We start from the raw sequence: 23,279 nt of genomic DNA, 5'->3' as shown, positions 1-23,279 counted from the left end.
ACATTTAAACAGAAAGAGAATGTTAGTCTCTGACAGCTAGCTCTGTCTTTGCCTTTGAAATGTTACAAAAACATACCATAAGCCCTAAATGTATACCAAACCAACTAGTCCATTGCTTTTAGTACCATCCTAGGCTGAGTAATGTCTTGGAGCAGGAGTCAGCAAACTTTTTCTGTAAAGGGCCGGATATATTTTCGGTTTTGCAGGTTATATGGTCAGTGGCACAACTATTCAGTTTGGCCAGTATAGCAGGAAAGCAGCCACAGACACATGTGAACAAATGTGCATGGCTGGGAAGTAGGCAGAGGGTCAGATTTGGCCCACAGACTATAGTTCAACAGCCCTTAACTTAGAGGAAAAGGATTTAAAGCCCTGTTATCCAAATTTCTAAGCCATATGGTCACTTAGATTATCTAGTTGGTTTTTATAAATTATTTTCAAATTGTAAAAGGAAAGAAGACCAGCAAGCCAAGCAAAAGTAATGTAAAGAGTTGCTTTAAAAGTTATAAACAAGGCCAGGCGCGGTGGCTCACGCCTGTAATCCCAACACTTTGGGAGGCCGAGGCAGGCAGATCACGAGGTAGGAGATCGAGACCATCCTGGCTAACATGGTGAAACCCTGTCCTTACTAAAAATACAAAAAAAAAAAAAATTAGCCAGGCGTGGTGGCGGCACCTGTAGTCCCAGCTACTCGGGAGGGTGAGGCAGGAGAGTGGTGTGAACCTGGGAGGCAGAGCTTGCAGTGAGCCGAGATAATGCCACTGCACTCCAGCCTGGGCAACAGAGCAAGACTCTGTCTCAAAAAAAAAAAAAAGTTATAAACATACTTATACACCACACATTTTATAAAAATAAACACTTGAATAATAATAATAATAATACAATAATAAACACTTGGTTGAATAAAGATAATGCACGATGAAGGTAATCAGAATATCCCAATGTATTCTTCCACTCAAGATTACTGAAACCTGTTACAGGTTCACATCTTCTTATCTGAAATACTTGGGGCCAAATGTATCATAGAACTTAGAAATTTTCAAGTATGGCCAGGCACGGTGGCTCATGCCTGTTAATCCCAGTGCTTTGGGAGGCCAAGGCAGGTGGATCACTTGAGGTCAGGAGTTTGAGACCAGCCTGGCCAACATAGTGAAACCCCATCTCTACTAAATATACAAAAATTAGCCAGGCATGGTGGCGGGCGCCTGTAATCCCAGCTACTTGGGAGGCCAAGATGGGAGAATCACTTGTGCCCAGGAAGCAGAGGTTTCAGTGAGCCAAGATTGCACCACTGTACTCCAGCCTGGGCAACAAAGACTACACAAGTATTAGAAAACTAATAGAGTATATATACTGAATATTATGTAACAACCTCTAACAGAGTCTAGAGCAGTAGTCCCTAATCAAACACATTAATACTTCTGTAGCAGAATGCATAAATGTTCACATTACATGGGGTTAATTAACCAAAAACAGTTTTGTATCAGTGCAAGATCTGGTTTTACCACCAAACCAGTTCCTCAAAGTCAGGTGAATTTTTTTTTTTTTTTTTTTAGTTTTTTTTAGTTTTTTTTTCATTTTCAGATCAAGAGCAGTGTATCTTGATTCTGTGAGTTAAGACCTGATAAACTTTTAGACTCAATTCTGAGAGGAAAAGCTAGTATCGTTCAAAAATTACAGGTCACCCACCAGAACAATATTAGTTGAACATTGTTTCCAAGATTAATAAAGGACCTTTTGCAAAGATGTAGAAAGAATATTCAAATGTAGAAAATCTTCCAAATACGAAGCAGAGAGTTAATGCCTCCTGAATGCATTTAAGTAGAAGCATATTATTGTGCTTATTTTATTTGGTCTTTTTTAATGTTTATTTCTAACCGTCTACATTGTGGGGCCATTTAATTTCTACATGTTTGTAAGAATACAATAAGGTACATGTAGTTATCAAAGCAATTTCGTTTTTAAAGAAGGCAGTGCTTCAAGTTTTTTTCTAATTTTTTCTTATAAATACCATTTTTAAATTTGAGATCATGTCTGTGAGATTTCAAGATCAAACTAATATTACTGTTCCTTGCAAAAATAACATACTATTAAATAACTTAAAGGTAATATACATTTTAACACCAAAAACTCCTCACTCAACAGTATGGCTTGTCAAAATGTTCCAATTTAATCTTTACTTAAGTGGACTTGTAGGGGTTTCTCAGACATTAAGATGGAACACTTTTTTTCTTTTTTAAATAGAGATGGGATCTCTCTCTGTTGCCCGGGCTGATCTTGAACTCCTGTCCTCAAGCAGTCCTCCTGCCTCAGCCTCCCAAAGTGGTGGGATTACAGGTGCAAACCACCATGCCAGCCCAAGCTTGAAGAATTTTTTTTGAGACAGGTTCTCGCACTGTTACGTGGGCTGCAGTGCAGTGGTAACAGTCATAGCTCCCTGCTCATAAACTCCTTGGGGCTCAAGCAGTCCTTCTGCCTTACCCTTCCAAGTACCTGAGACCACAGTTTATTTTTGTAGAGACAGGGTCTCGCTATGTTGCCTATGCTGGTCTGCAACTCCTTGGCCTCCGTAAGTACTGTACTTGCACCCAGCCAAGATTGGAGAATTTTATACAGTTCTTACAAGAAGACTGAACTATTAAATATCAAAAAACATATGGGACTGTGCTACAACTTCAGAAAGATTAGCCTGAACAATGAAGAGAGAAGTATAGGCTGAATTGAAAGAAATGGAGGAGCCTAGTACAATGAGCCTTCTAGAACGTAACTGAGAATTTGAATTTGGTCATAAAAGCATTAAAGGGAGGGGCTAAAGGGGATGGCATAATCTGATTTATGGTGAATGGATAGATGGGGGCAAGAGTGCAGTTAGGAAGGTGATCAGTCAAGAGTTTATGGAGACTTGGAGTGAGGTTGCAGCATTATCCAACCTAAAAGCTTGTTTCAGCTATAGAGTTCACCACAATCTTAATTCTTAATCTTGGAAGATTCTGAATTTTTAAAGTCATTGTCTTATAAGTTGTGAACAACAAAGAGTGTAACTCAGCAAATTTATTTCTTCGGTGGTTATACAATCTTCAGCCAGCAGTAAGTCACTTGGGAAACTCATGACCAAAATGTTCATGAGCTATTTTGGGGGACCAGTTCTCTAAGTCAGCAGACCTAGAAACTCTCCAGCCCTGGTCCTAAATATAAGAGTAATTAGTCATTGCCTTTAATACAATTATGCAGATAAAACTGGGGTTATTAGAAGTCTGCATACTTAGAAATGAAACATTAGGAGGTGCTACCTCAGATCTTGAGCCTATTATGTTACATGGCTAACATTAAAACTTTACCGACAGTAGAAATTTGTTGTTCCTCTCAGAGCAGTTAGCTAACAAATCCACATGTGGCTTCTGGTTAATGTATTAGGCATTTCTGGACTGTTGGACTGAAGAGAAAATCATAGTGATATTCTAGACATATTTGTTGAGCTCCCCCTTTGTGCAGGGAACTATGTACTGTGTACTAAGAATAGATATAAATAAGATTTGATCCCTACCCTCAAGAAGCTTATTGTTCAGTGGGAGAAGCAGATAAGTATACTGGGTGTAAGTACCATAATACACAAAATCTTTAGGTATATGCAGGAAAAACATAGAGTAGTGGGAGATTAAGGACTAGTAGAGGCAGTTTTCAGGATTTTTTTTTTGTGTGAGAATTAAGCTATAAGAGGCAAAGGAACATCTAAGCCCAATGGAAGCAGATTTTTAAAGTATGAGTAGCTCCCATGGCCAAAACTGGAACAATTTGAACAACGAAATGAAGTAACATGGAATTATAACCCAAAGTATAAAATAAATATGTGAATCCATGTTGATATAAACAAATGATTGAATAAATATATAGAGAAGAGACAAATTTTCCATGAAGAATTCCAAATAATTTATGTAGGTAAATCAAAGAGATGGAGCATAACTTTCCACTCCAGTATGGTCTCTGCTTATTGACTTCCCTCCCAAAGAGTACAATATGGAAGAGGAGAAAAAAAGAGTCAATTTAAAATTGAGAAGCCTTACAAAGACTACCTTGGCCAGGTGATCAAGGTCAACATCCAAAGTGGTAAGTCATGTTGATAGTATATACTCTTGATAAGATGCAATGAAAAATGGCATTTTAACTCTGATCTTTCTTCCAAAAATAACCACATAACCCCAGCCTGAGAAAAACACCAGATGAATCCCTGTTGAGAGACAACCTGCTATAGCAGGGGTCTCCAACCCCCAGGCTGCAGACTGGTACCAGTCCGTGGCCTGTTAGGAACCAGGCCGAACAGCAGGAGGTGAGTGGTGGGTAAGTGAGCATCACTGCCTGAGCTCCGCCGCCTGTCAGATCAGTGGCGGCATTAGATTCTCATAGGAGTATAGTCCCTATTGTGAACTGCACATGTGAGGGATCTAGGTTGCATGCTTTTTATGAGTATCTAATGCCTGATGAACTGACATGGAACAGTTTCATTCCCAAACCACTACCCCACCTCTGATTGTTTCAGCTAATAGAGTTCTCCACAGTTAATCTTGGAAGATTCTTAATTTTTAAAGTCATTATTGAGTTTCCATAGACGTCTGGTCTATGGAAAAACTGTCTTCCACGAAACTGGTCCCTGGTGCTAAAAAGGTTGGGGACCACTATACTATAGTACCTGATACTAAATACCACAAATTAGTTCTTCAATACCTCATCAGTGCTCAGTGACAGTTTTGTCAAAAGTCATCAGAAACAAAGTCTGGGCATCTGTCATAGCCATGAAGAGCCTAAGGAGACTTTACTGTGCTATAACTGGATGGGATTTTAAAGCAGAAAAAGACATTACATAAAAACAAATCTGAATCAAGTATGGACTTGATATTATTGTGTCCACATTGGTTCATTGATTGTAACACACATACCATACCAACATAAGATGTTAACAGAAGAAGTGGAGTGTGAGTATATGGGAACTCTCCTACCTTTGCAATGTTTCTGTACATCTAAACCTTGTTCCAAAATTAAAAGTTTATCAAAAATTTTTTAAATTTTAAAGTATGAGGATTATTATACTCAAAGTGGAAGACAAAGTAATGGGAGTGAAAGCTGGAGAAGTATAGATTATAAATCAGTGATCTGTTCCAGTTGTCAACTTAAAATAGGGACAAAGAATAGGGAGTTTAGAGATTTACATTTCAATCCCAACTTTGTCATTAAGAAATTGTGTCGTTTTGAAGAAGATGGTAAACCTCTTCACTCCATATTTATCTCTAAGATTATGCTGTACAAAGTCCATAGTCATTCTTGGTGATTTAGTCTCAGATATCTGAGTGCTGGTAGTTATTTATTTATTCTTTTTCCCAGAGATCATTACAGCTTCTCAATATGAGAATCAAGAACTTTTTCCATTCATGTATGATTTTAATTTGTTACTTCAAAGAACAAATCACAAATTTGTTCAGTTTTAGAGTCAAACTTCCTAGTGCCTAAATTCTGAAAGAGGTCTCAGGCTGGAAGTAGGTAGAATTTCTCATGAATTTTAAGTTCAAGTTCCCGAACATGGTAGCAGTTGACGTTAATTATTGTGTGAAATAATCACCTTTGGTAAACAGCTGAAAGAATTTTTTTTTTTTGAGACAGAGTCTTACTCTCTTGCCCAGGCTGGAGTGCAGTGGTGCAGTCACAGCTCACTGCAGCCTCAACTTCCCTTGCTCAAGCAATCTTCCTTTCATAGCCTCCTGAGTAGCTGGGACTACTGGCACACACCATCATGCCCAGCTAATTCTTTTAATTTTTTGTGGAGATGAGCTCTCCCTATATTGCCCAGGCTGGTCTCAAACTCCTCCCACCTTGGCCTCCCAAAGTGTTGGGATTACAGGCATGAGCCACCACACCTGGCCCTGAAAGAATGATTTATCCTAGAAAATTGTTTGTGTGAGCTTCATTGGAAAAGCAGCTTAATAATTCAGTTCACTCCCTTCTTTGATACCTTAGCTAGTAGTTTGTAATGGGTATGAGCAGTTATTCCGAAGGAATGAGTAAAGTTGTTGAACCACTTGCAATATGGTGGTTTCATTCCTTCAATAAAAATTTTAGTGGGCCAGGCATGGTGGCTCACCCCTGTGATACCAGTACTTCGGTAGGCCGAGACGGGCAGACTGAGCTCAGGAGTTTGAGACCAGCCTGGGCAACATGGCAGAATCCCATCTCCACAAAAAATACAAAAAATTAGCTGGATGTGGTGGTGGTGCACACCTGTAATCCTAGCTACTTCAGGAAGGCTGAGGTGGGAGGATGGCTTCAGGCTGGGAGGCGGAGGTTCAGTGAGCTGAGATCATGCCACTGCACTTTAGCCTGGATAATAGAGTGAGATTGTCTCAAAAAAAAAGTTTAAAAATTTTTTAATTAAAAAGTCAATTTTAGGCCGGGCACAGCGACTCACACCTGTAATCCCAGCACTTTGGGAGGCCGAGGCAGGCCGATCACGAGGTCAGGAGATCGAGACCATCCTGGCTAACGGTGAAACCTCGTCTCCACTAAAAATACAAAAAAAAAAAAAAAAAAAAATTAGCCGGGCGTGGTGGCGGGCGCCTGTAGTCTCAGCTACTCAGGAGACTGAGACAGGAGAATGGCGTGAACCCGGGAGGCAGAGCTTGCAGTGAGCCAAGATAGCGCCACTGCAGTCCGGCCTGGGCGAAAGAGCAAGACTCCGTCTCAAAAAAAAAAAAAAAAAAAAAATCAATTTTAATGCTTACTGTGTGGTAGTCTCTTTTCCAGGATAGGAGTCGGCACATTTTTTCTGTAAATAGCTAGATAGTAAATATTTTAGGCTTTGTGGGCCAGAAAGTCGTCATCACAACTACTTAACTCTGCTATTGTAGTATGTGAAAGCAGCCCTAGAGAAAATGTAAACAAATGAGTATGGCTGAGGATAGAGAGGAGAAAGTGCTTTTTTTATACTCTCAACAACCAGTCAATTCTGCAGTGGACACTGGCTGGGTGTCCTCTAATTCAATTCAGTTCATACACTATCTACCTGGAGATGTTACTGATGGAAGATATCCGAGTTACTGGCAGTGAATTTGTACCGGTCTGCAACAACCTCAGTTCTCGCCGCCTCAGGAGAAAGAATTTGACTAACAGGCATAAGGCAAGAAAAGAGACCGAGGCAAGTTTCGGAGCAGCAGTGGAAGTTTATTTAAAAAGTCTTTAGAACAGGAAAGCAAAGAAAATACACTTGGAAGAGACCCAAGCAGGCACCAACATCAAGTGCCGTGTTTAACTTTGATTCTAGGGCTTTTAGGCTGGCCCCTTTCCCATGATTCTTCCCTTAGGTTGGCCTGCCCCCATGCAGTGTCCTTACCCTTGGGAGGTGAGCATGCGCAGTGTGTTTAGGAAGTTGTACACATGCCTGCGGCTCTCTTCCTCTTTCCAGTGGTGTGCCCCCTGAAGGTCATACTCCGCCATTTTGTCTCTTAATACGCATGCCTGGGAAGTTGCATCTCCCTGGTGTCTGCATTCAGTTAACACTTCAGTGCAACAGATGTGGACCATCAACAAGTGAACTATCCCTGGTGCCCAGCTGCCAATTTATCACTTTTAGAGAGGCAATGTGATAATTGTTGAACCATCACCCAACATTCCTAGTGGGTGGGAGAATAGCCCTCTTCTGCTCCACGCATGCCTGTCTAACCACCTGTAAAAAATATAGCATCAGATCCCACAAGTGACGGCTCAGTCCCACAAGACTTCCCCCCTACCCACACCTCCAATGTCAGTTGCAAGCTCTGGGTGGTTTTACCTGTTCTTTTCACAAACTGTAAATCAGGGTTCCCATGAACCCTTCTTTGGGTTTAATTTTCTCGAGCAGCTCACAGAACCTAGGGAAACACTTAAGTTTACCAGTTTATTAAAAGGGATATTTTGAAGGATACAAAGGAGCAGCCAAATGAAGGTCTACATAGGATGAGGTCTGGAAAGGTCCTGAGCACCTGCACTTCCATCCCAGTAGAGCTGGAGTGTACCCCCTCCTGTCGCATAGATGCATTCTGCTATCCAGAAGCTCCACAAACCCAATCTTTCAGATATTTTTATAGGAACTTCATTACCTAGGCATGATTGATGAAATCATTGGTGATCAACTCAACCTTCAGTCCCTCTCCCATCCCCAGATGTCAGAATGGGTGGGGCTGAAAGTCCCAACTTTCTAATCATGCCTTGGTTTTTCCAGTGACCAGCCCCCATCCTGAAATTACCATCCAGTCATTAGTCAACTGATTAGCATACAAAAAGACACTTAACGCTTTGGAGATTCCAAGAGTGTTCCAGGAAAGGGGACAAAGACCAAATATGTATTTCACAATGTCACACTGCTAACAAAACCACTGAAGTGTGAGTTGTCATGTGTCACAGAAATTTTTTTTCAAGCATTTAAAAATGTAAAAACATTTATCTCTCATGAGCCATATAAAAAAAAATAAAAATCCACAAGCTGGATTTGGCTTGCAGGCCACAATTTGCTGACCCCTGTTCTAGGTGCTGACTAGACAGCAGTAGCAGGAGAAAGAAAAAAAAAAAAAGATGAAAATCCAAACTTTGCTGAGCTTGCGTTCATTCTAGTGGATAAAAGTACGTCCACAGAATGCAATTCTCTTTCCACAATGGTGTGGAGCACAGGAGCCTGGAAGGCCATTTTAGAGGGCATACCACCCAACTAAGAGGTTTGTTGTTGTTGGCTTGCATGCAATTTCCACAGGAGTGTACACAGCACTGTTATACCTTGGTATGTGTGCTTTCAGAGAACCAAGGAACACTTTTCCTGTTAAACCTCGGTAATGTTGGGCAGGGTGGTTTGTGCCTATAATCCCAACACTTCAGGAAGCTGAGGTGGGAGGATGGCTTGAGCCCAAGAGTTTGAGACCAGCCTGAGCAACAAAGTGAGACCCTGTCTCTACGTAAGATTTAAAAAAGAAAAAAAGGAGGAAAAAAAAAAGCCTGGTGTGATGGTGCCTTCCTGTGGTCCCAGCTACTTGGGAGGTTGAGGTAGGAGGATCACTTGAGCCTGGGAGGTGAAGCTGCAGTGAGCCATGATCAGGCCGCTGCACTCCAGCCTGGACAACAAAGTGAAACCCTGTCTCAAACAAACAAACAAATAAATGAAGCTCTGGAGACAGAACTTTCAGAGTTTCTTTGTTTTTGTTTTTGTTTTTTAGACAGAGTCTCATTCCATCGCCCCTGCTGGAGTGCAGTTGCACAGTATCAGCTCAATGCAACTTCTGCCTCCCAGGTTCAGTGATTCTCATGCCTCCCAAGTAGCTGAGATTACAGGCATGACCCACCACGCCTACTTAACTTTTGTATTTTTAGAAGAGATGGGATTTCACCCTGTTGGTCAGGCTGGTCTCTAACTCCTGACCTCATGAGGGTGATCTGTCAGTGTTGGCTTCTCTTTTCTTTTTCTTTTTCTTTTTTTTTTTTTTTTGAGACAGAGTCTCCCTCTGTCACACAGGCTGGAGTGTATTGGCATGATCTCAGCTCACTGCAACTTCCACCTCTTGCAGAACTTCAAGCAATTCTCATGCCCCAGCCTCCCAAGTGGCTGGGATTACAGGCGTGCACCACCATGCCCAGCTAATTTTTATATTTTTAGTAGAGATGGTGTTTTGCCATGGTAGCCAGACAGGTCTCAAACTCCTGGTCTCATGCAATCTGCCTGCCTTGGTCTCCCAAAGTGCTGGGATTATAGGCATGAGCCACTGTGCCCAGCCCAGTTCTATTAATGTATCTATAACAAAGATAATTTAGAGGTCTGAGGTTGAGATTATTTTCATTGAATACTCTGAAAGATTTGTGCTTAAGATATAGCCTGTTGAATGTGGGGAAACAGGATATTTTACAAGGCTGGCTTTTAATTTTTTCCCCTTTTCTTTCCCTTTTTCTCCCTCACCTTTCTGGTTCTTTCACCCTGAGCTATTGAAATTTCTTTTCTGAATATAAGGCAGTTTCTCAGGCTTGTAGCACTTGTATGGAGACTTGGAACCTGATTCTTTTTTGGAATGACCAAATCTCTTATAAGTATTCATATCTTATAGCTAATGTTTGTGCACTGGCTAATTTCGAGGGGTTAAATTTTGAAAGAATTAATAAATTACTTTTCTGCTAAATTAGCTACTATTAACAGGTAGCCATTTTTTAAAATATTCTTAATATTTAGAGACTAAACTTTAGTCCAGGGGTGTCCAGTCTTTTGGCTTACCTGGGCCACACTGGAAGAAGAATTGTCTTGGGCCACACATAAAATACACTAACACTAACGATAGCTGATGAACTTAAAAAAAAATTGCAGAAAAATCTTAATGCTTTAAGAAAGTTTACAAATTTGTGTTGGGCCACATTCAAAGCCGTCCTGGGCTGCATGTGGCTTGCACGTTATGGGTTGGACAAGCTTGCTCTAGTCAGTGTTTACACTTTAGAAGTCCTCACTTCCCCTTCCCAAATTCCATTTGGTGAGTCCCAGGAGAGACTCCCATGAGCTCCACTCCATGGTTCCCATGGGAAAGGCAGCCTTCTATTCCTAGAAATGGAATGTGGTGCTCTGTGCTGTTGAATTGCAAAGCTTTGTGGAACAGTTTTAGTAATATATCTGGAAAGGCTTCTGGCACTTAGAAATTAAAAAGCACTCCATGAATATAGGGCAGCATTAGCATATGCATATTAAAATCTAGTCACTCCTCAGTTTTTTTATTTTTTATTATAGGGAACAAAGAAGTATAAAGTATAAAAATTACCAAAAAAAAAAAAAAAAAAAAAAAGGAAGGTCAAATGGCTATTCTGGAATTTTCTTTTTTTTCTTTTTTTAATTTTTGTTTAATTATACTCTAAATTCTGGAATACATGTGCAGGATGTGCAGGTTTTGTTACATAGGTATACACAGGCCATGGTTGTTTGCTACACCCATCAACCCATCATCTACATTAGGTATTTCTCTGGAATTTTCAACAGATGTAGGGGCCAACAGGTATGGGGGTTATGGTGGCAAGACAGGGTTTGAGACTGGGAGAAGAGGAGGCCTGGCTAACAAAGGTGGTCTTTCTCTGTAGATGAAACATCACAGGTAGCAGCCCTCAGAGACAATAGATGACAAATGTTTCTTTCAGACCTTTAAATGTGTCAGACACTCAGCCGGGTGCTGGTGGCTCATGCCTGTAATCCCAACACTTTGGGAGGCCACAGGGAGTGGATCACGGGATCAGAAATTGGAGACCAGCCTGGCCAACATGGTGAAACCCCGTCTCTACTAAAAGTACAGAAACTATCTGGGCATGGTGGCGGGCACCTGTAATCTCAGCTACTCCGGAGGCTGAGGCAGGAGAATTGTTTGAACACGGGAGGCAGAGGTTGCAGTGAGTGGAGATCACACCATTGCATCCCAGCCTGGGTGACAGGGTGAGACTCCATCTCAAAAAAAAAAAAAAAAAGGTGTCAGACTCTCAGTTCATCCTTTCTAGATCCAGACAAGGGAGGGCCTCAGAGAAAGCCTGCTGCATCAGTGCAGATTCTATACAGATGCGAATCTCCCCCACACAAGACAGTTTTGCAGGACTACTTCTGTTTCAAGTCCTCTGAAAAACCATCTCAAAATAGCTCAAAGAAATATATTTTGGAAAAAAGATTTTTATTTCCTTTAGTACCACCCCCAACCCTGCCCTACCTTTTGAAATTTTTCTTTCAGAAAGTTTCTCATGTTAAGAACCAACTTGATAGCTTTAGAGAGATTTGTTTTAGAGGCTGGTAGATAAGAGATTGGAAAGGAGGTGAGGAACAAATTGGGATAAGCAGAAGAGAGCAAATTTAAATAGATCATCTCATATCTTCTTGAATTAGTTTCTTAGTCCTGAGAATAGGTCAGTTCAGTTAAATTGCTGTGTCTCATTCCAAGAGGTGGTATCGTAGATGAGCTAGGGTTCTATATATGATGCAGGCAAACAGATCTTTAATAAAAGACATTTTATTGGAAACAGAAGAAAAAAGTTAATTCATAGAGTTGTCTATAAACTAGTTCTAGAGTTTCAAGTTCTGGATTTTCTGGCTTTGTACATTTTCCTATACTATAGAATCAGGTGTTCTAGTGAACTTTTTAAGTAGTCCATGCATCAACAGACACAAAGGCTGTTTATATTGCAAGTTGCTGTGGTGATTTCTCTGGAAGTTTATATCAAGTTTTCTAGCTTCAGTTTGTAGGGCATTAAGAAAAGCAGTTTTATTTTTTAGTGATTTCAAGTCAGAAAAATAGGAGAAAAATTAGAAAATGTCGGTTTGGAGACTTATAGCCAGGAAAGAATTTAGCATTTAGATCAAATTGTAGACAAATAATAACTAAAAAACAATGGTCAGGGCTAGAATCTAATGTCACATGTACTATAGTTTTCTTCTAAAACATATTTTTTCTCTATAATCTCCCATTTGTACCAAAGATAAATCATAGTGAAACCAATACATTTGCAAAATAAGTTTTAGTCATATTGTACTTAGCCTGATTATTTATATAAAGTACAGCAATAATAATGATTGGCCATATAGGGTCTTTTCAAGTTGGTTTTGCTGGAACTTTTTCATAAGGAATCTCAGATTAGACTTTAAAAATGCTCTTAATGTTTAGGAGCCAAGCCAAAGTTTGTAATACTTGTACAGATTTGGTGAATTAATTTCTTTCTTTCTTTCTTTTTTCTTTTTTTTTTGTTCCTAAAATATCTTGAAGTTCCTGTACCTGTCAAAAAGTGACATTTTTTTCTTATCACAAGGTTAGGAACCTTGAAAGGGAACAGTTGAGGCAAGATAGTAGGTTAGTCTTTAGATAAAGAAAATGTGGTACCTATACATCATGGCATACTATGCAGTTATAAAAAAGAACTAGATCATGTCCTTTGCAGGAACATGGATGAAGCTGGAAGCCATTATCCTCAGCAAACTAATGCAGAAACATGTTCTCACTTATAAATGAGAGCTAAACAATGAGAACACATGGACACAGGGAGGGGCCTGTTGGGGGAGGGCAGGAGTGGGAGGGCATTAGTGAAAGGAGCTGCTGCATGCTGGGCTTAATAACTTGGTGATGGGTTGATAGGTGCAGCAAATCAGCATGGCACGTTTACCTATGTAACAAACCTGCACATCCTGCACATGTACCCCAGAACTTAAAAAAAACAAAAACAAAAACAGATGACTGGACACGGTGGCTCATACCTATAATCCCAGCACTTTGGGAAGCCAAGGCAGGCAGATCACAAGGTCAGGAGTTCAAGACTGGCCTGGCCAATATGGTGAAACCCCATCTCTACTAAAAACACAAAAATTAGCCAGGAATGGTGGCCAGCACCTGTAATCCCAGCTACTTGGGAGGTTGAGGCAGGAGAATCACTTGAACCCGGGAGGCAGAGGTTGCAGCGAGCTGAGATTGTGCCATTGCACTCCAGCCTGGGTGATGGGGCAAAACTCTGTCTCAAAAAAAAAAAAAAGATAGTAGGCCACTCTTTTTTAGTCTATTGGCTTTAAAGTCATCCTCAATTCCTCAAAGCAGTCTGGTCACATTTAAAATGTGACATTCCAGTCAAAGCCTTGGTAAAATAACCAGTGTCTGTAATTGTGTCCTGTCACTGAAGAAAATAGATTCTTATTAAACTTACACAAATACATCTATTGCCATAAAATAAAAATACTCACAAATAGTTTCTGCATTCTGGAGGAATCGGGTAGAGAGAAAGGTAAATGTTTCAATTTTGTTCACAAAAGTTAACTTTACTCAATTGCTGTAAGCAATATAAGAGGAAAAAAATTTCTTGACTAGAAAATAACATAAAAAGAACAAGTTTTTTTTTTTTTTTTTTTTAGACGGAATTTCACTCTTGTTGTCCAGGCTAGAGTGCAATGGAGCGACCTTGGCTCACCACAACCTCTGCCTCCCGGGTTAAAGTGATTCTCCTGCCTCAGCCTCCCGAGTAGCTGGGATAACAGGCATGCACCACCACACTTGGCTAAGTTTGTATTTTTAGCAGAGACAGGGTTTCTCCATGTTGGTCAGGCTGGTCTCAAACTCCTGACCTCAGGTGATCTGCCTGCCTTGGCCTCCCAAAGTGCTGGGATTATAGGCGTGAGCCACTGTACCTGGCAAGAACCAGTAATGTTTTAAAGTGAAAACTTTAAAATCATTTGCCTTGCATTAGTTCAGTTTCATGTAATTAGTTCTTCTGCTTGATGTTAGGTTAGCATTTTATGAGTCCAGTTTTTCTCTTTGAAGGTTTTAGAATTTTTACCCGATCCAATTATATGATCTCACAGTCATAAGCAGAGGTCATTATTTCAGAGTATCTGTCACTTTCCTATCCATGAATTTACTTGAAGAAGCACAATGTTTGAATAGTAGCTGATTATAAACTGCATTTTTGTGAAGAAACAGAGTGAAACAATAGTTGTGAATAACCAAAATTTAGAATAGCCATCATTAAAGATACAATTGACAAGGAAATTTGTTATTTCTGTAGCAAACAACAATTTAACAGGATAATCATAACTATGACTGATAACATATAACAAGACATATCAAAATTTTTGGAATCTAACACAATTTTGGAACACATATTAACACATTTATACAACTATAACTCAGAGATTGTTAAACACTATTTCTTATTAACAATACTTCCTGTATGACTTTTACATACCAAATAAGACTAACATGTCTCTGTTGGACTTCCAGGGGCTTTTTTTTTTTTTTTTGGAATGTCTAAAAGTTAACTTGAGTTCAAAAGGACATGTTAGAATTAATTTTGGGAAGTTTGTCAAATATCAATGGTTTGAAACACTTGATATTAAAAAAGAAAGGTTTGGCCAGGCACGGTGGCTCATGTCTGTAATCCCACCACTTTGGGAGACCAACCAGGCAGATTTGGTGTTTGAAACCAGCCTGTGCAATGTGGCAAAACTCTGTCTCTACAAAAAATACAAAAATTAGCCAGGTATCGTGGTCCACACTTGTAGACCCAGCTACTCAGGAGGCTGAGGCTGGAGAATCACTTGAGCCCAAGGAGATCCAGGCTGCAGTGAGCTGTGATCATGCCTGGGTGCACTCCAGCCTGGGTGACAGAGCAAGACTCTGACTCAAAGAAAAAAGAAAGAAAATAAATTTTTAAATTATTGCTTTGGCTAAATGACTACTATTTTACAGTTATGTTGATCCTATCTTGATCAATTCTTTTAAACTTTTTGTTGTTGTTGTTTTTATGAGACAGAGTCTCACTCTATTGCCCAGCTGAGTGCAGTGGCATGATCATGGCTCACTGCACCTCAGCCTCCCAAACAGCTGGGACTACAGGTACATGCCACCACACCTGGCTAATTTTTGTATTTTTTATAGAGACAGGGCCTCTCCATGTTGCCCAGGCTGGTCTCAAACTCCTGGCCTCAAGCAATCCACCTGCCTCGGCCTCCCAAAGTGCTGGCATTAGGTGGGATCCACCATACCAACCTTAAAGATTTGCAAAGCAAAACCTTTACTCCTTTGATGGGGCAGTTTTCCAAATAATTAAAAGATTTCATAAAGACAGAATAAGAAAATGTGCTCCTAGTTTTGGGGTGGGGGAGGGGTTGTAGTTTATTTAAAAGGTGAACAAAAATATTTTATTATCTATTATTAATATGACATAAAAATTTTGTTGAAAAGAACAAATTTTATCCTTTTTATGTATCCTTAATATTAAAGTTAATTTTAAGAAAACTTTATAAACATCTAATTTTAGTTTTGGCAACACAAAATAAGATTCTGTAAATAAGATTTTATAAAATATTTTATTTCATTTCAACTGTATTTTAAATTTAAAACAACTTTTTGAAAACCTTTACACTAGAAAAAATTACTTTCTTTTTAACAAAATCCATATGTTGATGTCTTTTTGTAATGTTTTATTAAAAAGACATTACTTTTCTTATATCTATACTTTGTGTATAGAATTTTAAAATATTTAGTAGTTTCAATAATATATTAATTACAATTTTAGCTCTTAATAACCCTGATTTTTAATGGAAAACCTGGGAAGTAAGTAACTGTGATTGTTATGTGTCAGGTGCAGAGCCAAGTACAGAGAACAGGACTGTGAAGACAGTATCTGGAGGATCTGACCCCTATTAGCATAGCCTGGAAACAGCTGGACCAGGGAGAATAGGGCCCAGGCACTGTGAACACACATGTGTCCCCAGTCCTCATCATGGCCACTTGTCTAGACTCCAGAATCTAAACACTCAAAACCAAGACATAAGTTCAGAGACAAATTAAGCTAGTATTAATATTACAGAAATAAGAGTTTTATGACCCTAAAACATCAACTAGAGACAATATAAACCAGTCTGACCAACAGACCCAGGCAAACATGTCTGAATTAAATTTTGAAGATGTTTTTATTTTATTTTACTAATAATTTTTAAACTAGCTTTATTTATTAAAGATTTCTAAAATCACACTAACTTGAAAGTATTTGGACATACTTACGTTATGAGTACTTATTAATTTATGTCAATCTGGTACCATGTACACAATATGCAAACACAGACATGTACATATGTGCACAGAAAAATACACAAATATAGATTTTGTAGCTTTCGTTTAAAAATTTTAGCCGTGAAACAGGTAAAACTCACTAGTTTAAAAGGATAGTTAAATTTTGCCTCTGTAAATGGAATGGGTTAAAGTTTGTTCCACATGGCTAGAAGCCCTTATCACATTTTGGAGTAAACAAGGTAGCAAATTTACATATTAAAACACAGAGAGAATTTAAGCTCTTTAAAGAAGTTTGGGTATATTAAAGGAAGATTAAAAATGGGTATCAAGGTAAAATCATAGGAATAAAAATAAATCATAAGAATTTACCATAAGATTTTACAAGGAAACCAATTTTATTTATCAGTTAGTTTTAAATTTAGTCTTCATTTTCCAACTAGGCCACTGAGCTCAGGGCAGAACCCAATAACAAACGGAGCGAAAAAAGCATATGTAGTTTTCAGGGACTGCTGTGGTTTGTTTATCCCCACGAAGTCTCATGTTGAAATTTGATTTCTAACATTGGAGGTGGGGCCTGATGGCAAGTGTGTGGATTGTGGAGGTAAATCCCTCATGGATGGCTTGGTACCATTCTCATGGAAGTAAATGAGTTCTCTAACCCTTTGTTCCTGTGAGAACTGGTTGTTGAAAAGAGCCTGGCACCTTCTCCTCTCTCTTGCTTCAGCTCTGTCACCATGTGAGCTCTGTACATGCCAGCTCCCTTCCTTTTCTTTTTCTTTTTTTTTTTTTTTTTGAGACAGAGTCTTGCTCTGTCACCCAGGCATGCAGTTGCACGATCTTGGCTCACTACAACCTCTGCCTCCCAGGTTCAAGCAATTCTCCTGCCTCAGCCTCCCAAGTAGCTGGGATTACAGGTGTGTGCCACCCCACCTGGCTAATTTTTGTATTTTTAGTAGAGATAGGGGTTTCACCATGTTGACCAGGCTGATCTCGAACTCCTGAACTCAGGTGATCCGCCTGGCTTGGCCTGCTGAAGTGCTGGGATCACAGGTGTAAGCCACCACACCCCGCCTACCCTTCCTTTTTTACTATGAGTGGAATCAGCCTAAAGCCATTGTGATGGTTAATATTGAGTGTCAACTTGATGGGAATTGAAGGATGCAAAGTATTGTTCCTGAGTGTGTCTGTGAGGGTGTTGCCAAAGGAGATTAACATTTGAGTCAGTGAACTGAGAGAGGCCACCCCACCCTCAATCTGAGTGGGCACCATGTAATCAGCTACCAATGTGGCTAGAATAAAAGCAGGCAGAAGAACGTGGAAGGACTTGACTTGCTGAGTCTTCCAGCCTTCATCACTCTCACATGGTGGATACTTCCTGCCCTTGAACATCGGACTCCAAGTTCTTCAGCTTTTGGACTCTTGGACTTACACCAGTGGTTTGCCAGGGGCTCTCTGGACTTTGGCCACAGACTGAAGGCTGCACTGTTGGCTTCCCTGCTTTTCAGATTTTGGGACTTGAACTGGCTTCCTTGCTCCTCAACTTGCAGATGGCCTATTGTGGGACTTCACCTTGTGATTGTGTGAGTCAATACTCCTTAATAAACTCTCCTTCCTATATACATCTATCCTATAAGTTCTGTCCCTCTAGAGAACCCTGACTACTACAGCCATCATCAGAAGCAGATAGTAGATCCATGCTTCATGTGCAGCCTCCAGAATGGTAAGCCAAATAAACCTATTTTCTTAACAAATTTACCCAGCCTCAGGTATTCCTTTACAGCAACATAAATGGCTAAGACAGAGCCTAATACCTAAATATGTGGAAAGCAGGTGCAACTGGAAGGCAGACACCCAAAACTTCAAGGGTCCGATTTTTACACTGTCGTTTGGCACCCTAAATAGAAGGAAATGTCATGGGACTGGAGAGTGTATTGCTTTCAGAGTATACCTTACTGTAAGGACATTTCTGTAAGGCTGCTGGGTGACCTCATGTTAATCAGCCCACTCTGTGATCAGCCTGTCTCTCATGGGAATCTTATCCCTCAGTAGCAAGTGTTTCCACAGCCTCTAAGTGTTTAAACTGTACCCTTTTTATCTGAATTCACAAAGAAATAAGTAGCCCCTTGTAGAAATAACCATTTACAGCAACTGCTGTCAGCCACCTCCAAAACTATGGTTCTCACCAGTGACTAGTCAGTCACCATACACACAAAGGTCAAGTTTTCTTTTACAGTACAATGTAATTCCTTGTAACCACCCCCTCAACCACCACCACCACCACCACCAAAATGAAAGAGATCAAGGAATTTAATACAAAAGAGGGTAGAGCTTTAGACCTGACAAAAACTGGCCCAGGACTTTAGGGACTCCAGGAGGAAAACAGAAGACCCCCAAAAGAGGATGTGTGGTGTTTTTGCTGTGTTTCTCAAGGAGTCTCAGGGTTGCTAGAAGTCTCTCAGATTTTTCTTAATGTGGTCAAAGGTAGAAAAAAGGAAAAGTAATACAAGTGGAAATAAATGGAAGAACAAGTCTTAGATGAGCCAATTTGGGGGAGATTTTGAGCTTTTTAAAAGGCCAATGAAGTTTACATGTTTTTGGTTTTGGGGTTTGTTTGTTCATTTTAACAAAAATCATACCAATATGAATGGAAGCAAATGAGAACTAAACCTAATTTAAAATGGGTTTCAGTTGACTGAAAATAACTTCTCAGAAACAAAATCCAAAAGAGAAAAAGCAAAAACACTTCTAAAAAATATATTTGCCACTTAAATATCAGCTTTTAATTAAACTTCTGACCGTAGAGATATCTTCTAAAATCTCTGATTTTCAGATGTTAGCAGCAACACACAGCTGATATTCCTGGCTTTTGCACTTTTTACCAAAGGTGATCTCCCAAGTGACTTACCAAAATCAAAGTCTTGACCAAGGTTATGACTTAGTCAAAGATGCATGAGGCCTCTCTAAAGAGATGTAAAGCAGTCCTCACAAGATCTAGAACCACCCCAAAGAGAGTTAAAGAAAGGAAACTTTCACTAGCTGCAAATGGAGTACAACCCACATCTGTCTGGCCATATTCTCTAGGATCTCAGCTTCTCAGCTGACTGTGAACACATAAAGACCCAAAAAGACTCGTATGCCCCCACAGACAGAAGGAGACAGGAAATCAAAAGCTGTTTAAAAGGGGAAAAGAATCAATAATCCTAAAAAGTGAAAAGTGACACAAATATCAAACCAAAAGGGACTGGTTTCCTGACTGAGAAGCAAACCCAGGCCAAAGTGGTGAAGCATGGAATTTTAACTAGACAACAAGGTGGAGTGGCTGTCATTAAAATACAAGGGATTTTAACTTTATTTTAAGTCAGATTTTTGCTCTTCAATTTTGTCAAGACAATTTTTAAGGCTATCCACGACATTATTATGTGTCTTTTAAAAAATATGACCATTTCTCCGCCAACCATAGTCTATGGACCTTTTTACATAATTGAATATTTTCAATTATTGACATTTTGTGTCTAAAGGTTGACTTAACATGAGATATTTTCATGCAAAGTCTTCAGTGGTTGTAGAGTCTATTGTTTTGTGAATAAACAAATCTGAATCTATTTTATATGATATTAAAAAATTTGATCTCATAAATACAAACAAGACAATTGCTTAGAATGAGAGTCTAAAATCTTTTTTTAATTTAGGGGTCTTTCCAATTTAACAAATCCATCATTTGGCCACTGACGTTGAGAATTTCCAATGGTGTACTTATTTCAATAGCAACTTAATTCAATAAGTCTTTTTATCGAAAGCCCAGGGGGTAATTTACCAGGTTTAGAACAAGTTTTTAGTTTTCTGGAGAGGGCATAGAAGAGATGGTTTCAATTATCCCCCAAAATCTACTCCCAGGAATAGGCTAAAATACTAAAAGACTCTTGTTACCACATGTGGTTAAGGATGGTGTTTGTGTGTACAGTGCCTCCACTATCCCACATATTTGTGGGAGGCTGCCAGTCACAGACACATTAATCTGTGACATTGGCTATGCCCTCCTAGGATTGGACTTTCCCAGGGACAGCAAGGGTTGAGACAACAAAAGCTCCTTGTGAATGGGACCTTCTATTAAGACAAATCCCCCTGAGAGTTTGACATGTTCAGAACAAAAAGTGTGTGCTGGCAGGGCGCGGTGGCTCACGCCTATAATCCCAGCACTTTGGGAGGCTGAGGTGGGTGGATCACGAGGTCAGGAGTTCAAGACCAGCCTGGCCAACATGGTGAAACCCTGTCTCCACTAAAAATACAAAAATTAGCTGGGCGTGGATGGCAGGCACCTCTAATCCTAGCTACTTGGGAGGCTGAGGCAGAGAATTGCTTGAGGCAGAGAATTGCTTGAACCCAGGAGGTGGAGGTTGCAGTGAGCTGAGATCAAGCCACTGCACTCCAGCCTGGGTGAGAGAGTGAGACTCCATCTCAAAAAAAAAAAAAAAAAAAAAAATAGGGTGTGCTGATATGTCTCAGGGTTCCAAATTTTTTTAGGCTGGCCACCAATTTGAACCAAAAACTGTATCCCTCCCTCTGCCATGATGGCAGAGACCAAGAAACAATGCTCCCACTTGTTCACAAGCCAAGCTCTCAAGGACATAAAACAAGATAAGAATGGAACCTCATCTGGTTTTTATATCAAAGACTCACAGCAGTTTGTCTAAATAAATGCCAGTCTGGTCAGAACTGCGAAACTGGTCAATCCACAGGGCTGGCCTGAACAACAGACATATGAGGGTTTTAGGTTTGTGTTCTACCATATGGTACCCCACTTTATGATAGGCAACACAAAAAGACAAAGAAAAATACCATTTTGGGGAGAAAAAAGATTCAACAATATGAATATTTATACCAAAAGGTACACCAGAGTCACTACACCAAAGACTAGTCACACAAATCCTTTTCTCCCATTAGTCAAGATTTTAAAGGGGCAAAAGAAACAGTGATTTTTACCATCCATTTGACCAGACTACACAGAGAGAGAGGCAAGGAGCTTAGCTGGTAGAAATTTCTTACCCTTCTGCTGGCATGTCTGATCCTGAGTTTTCTTGTCTGTGGCTTCCAGAAGAGCAGAGTTTTGGTATCCTGCTCACAGTGCCAAAACTATAGGGGCCAAGGGAAAACTTCCCCTTTGCCCTGTGAAGGGTCGCTTAAAATCAGCTGACAAGAAGGCAGATGAATAGGAGAAATGGCATACAAATCTATTAACAAGCAGAGGAGAGAACCACAGAGTGATTGCCCCAACCTCCCAATAGGGTTCAGAAGCTTATATACCATACTGAGGTTACAGAAAGAATAGGGGCTTGCAGCCTGGCCCAAAACAGGTTATGGTGGTTGCTATATTTGGATGTTTGTCCCCCAAACCCTCATGTTGAAATTTGATACCCAACCTTGGGATTAGGGCCTAATGGGAGGTGTTTGTCATGGGGGTAGAGATTCCTCAGGAATAGCTTGGTGTCTTTCTCATGGTAATAAGTGAATCCTTGCTCTAATAGTTTTCATGAGAGCCAGTTGTTAAAAATAGCCTGGCACCTCCCCTCTCTTGCTTTCTCTCTTGCCATGTGATCTCTGCACATGCCGTCTCTCCTTTATCTTCCACCATGAATGGAAGCAGCCTGAGGCTTTCACCAGGCACCAGACACACTCTTCCCAGCCAGCCGAGTTGAGAGCCAGATACACTTTTTTGTTGTTGTTGTTGTTTTCAAATGTTTATTTTATGTACAAAGAACTATCATGGCTTTTCATTGAGTAGATGCCTTGGATGATCCTTTGAAGGAAGATCATTTAGTCCAATTTAATGAAACCGATATCCTTCGCGTACTGACGGAAACACTGGGGGCACATATTGAGGCCATATTTCTGGATCAGACCCTGCCGGTTTGAACAGACGCGACAAGAGCGAGAACCCTGGCCGAATTTTCGCGGGTGGCTCCAGTACAGCTGCTGGTGACCCACCTTGCTCTCAGGAGTGCAATGAGGTAAAAGGCCAGATACACTTTTTTTTTCTTTATAAATGACTGAGTCTTATGTATTCCTTTATAGTGATACAAACAGATGATGACAATGGTAAATCTGACTATGGTGGTAAGACAGGGTATAGGAGGGGAAGAAGAGGAGGCCTGACTAGCAAAGGTGGTCTTGCTCTGTAGATGAATGAACCTCATAGGTAGCTGCCCTCAGACAGAGTAGATGGTAAATGTTTTTTCCAGACCTTGAAAGGTGTCAGACTCTCAGTTAACCTTTCCTACATCCAGACAAGGGAGGGCCTCAGAGAAAGCCTGCTGCATCAATGCAGACTCTGTACAGATGCAAATCTCCCCTACACAAGACAGCTTTGCAGGACTACTTCTCTTTGCAAGTTCTCTGAACAACCATGTCAAAATATGTCAAAGAAGTATGTTTGGGGACAAAACATTTTTATTCCCTTCAAACAGGCGTATAAAATGGCTTTATTCCTTATGCTGTTTGAACATAGCATCCGCCTATTTCTGTGTGAGCTGACCCACCGTAGGCCATTGTATTAGCCTCTTTTCATGCTGCCGATAAAGACACACCTGAGACTGGGAAGAAAAAGAGGTTTAATTGGACTTACAGTTCCACATGGCTGGGGAGGCCTCAGAATCACGGCGGGAGGCAAAAGGCACTTCTTACATTGAGGCAGCAAGAGAAAAATGAGAAAAGCAAAAGCAGAAACCG

The 23,279-nt window shown here is 40.2% G+C and overlaps 1 pseudogene, besides 4 other annotated features; it reads right to left on the bottom strand.

Moving 5' to 3' along the window:
• Positions 6,542-7,404: an enhancer, noted in NCBI's record as "H3K27ac hESC enhancer chr1:175906245-175907107 (GRCh37/hg19 assembly coordinates)". NCBI's record gives its function as "activates a minimal SCP1, AML or CMV promoter by ChIP-STARR-seq in naive H9 embryonic stem cells {active_cell/tissue: H9 hESC(naive)}" and the evidence as "EXISTENCE:reporter gene assay evidence [ECO:0000049][PMID:30033119]".
• Positions 7,405-8,269: an enhancer, noted in NCBI's record as "NANOG-H3K27ac hESC enhancer chr1:175905380-175906244 (GRCh37/hg19 assembly coordinates)". NCBI's record gives its function as "activates a minimal SCP1, AML or CMV promoter by ChIP-STARR-seq in naive H9 embryonic stem cells {active_cell/tissue: H9 hESC(naive)}" and the evidence as "EXISTENCE:reporter gene assay evidence [ECO:0000049][PMID:30033119]".
• Positions 9,134-9,998: an enhancer, noted in NCBI's record as "H3K27ac-H3K4me1 hESC enhancer chr1:175903651-175904515 (GRCh37/hg19 assembly coordinates)". NCBI's record gives its function as "activates a minimal SCP1, AML or CMV promoter by ChIP-STARR-seq in primed H9 embryonic stem cells {active_cell/tissue: H9 hESC(primed)}" and the evidence as "EXISTENCE:reporter gene assay evidence [ECO:0000049][PMID:30033119]".
• Positions 20,626-20,801: a silencer, noted in NCBI's record as "fragment chr1:175892848-175893023 (GRCh37/hg19 assembly coordinates)". NCBI's record gives its function as "represses an EF-1alpha promoter that drives an FKBP-Casp9 reporter gene in an ReSE screen in K562 erythroleukemia cells {active_cell/tissue: K562}" and the evidence as "EXISTENCE:reporter gene assay evidence [ECO:0000049][PMID:32094911]".
• Positions 22,282-22,569, bottom strand: RPS29P5 (ribosomal protein S29 pseudogene 5; annotated as a pseudogene).

Source organism: Homo sapiens, chromosome 1, assembly GCF_000001405.40.
Source record: "Homo sapiens chromosome 1, GRCh38.p14 Primary Assembly".
In the NCBI taxonomy this organism is placed as follows: domain Eukaryota; kingdom Metazoa; phylum Chordata; class Mammalia; order Primates; family Hominidae; genus Homo; species Homo sapiens.
Note: the sequence above shows the minus strand (reverse complement) of the source record. Positions and strands in the feature narration are given on the sequence as shown.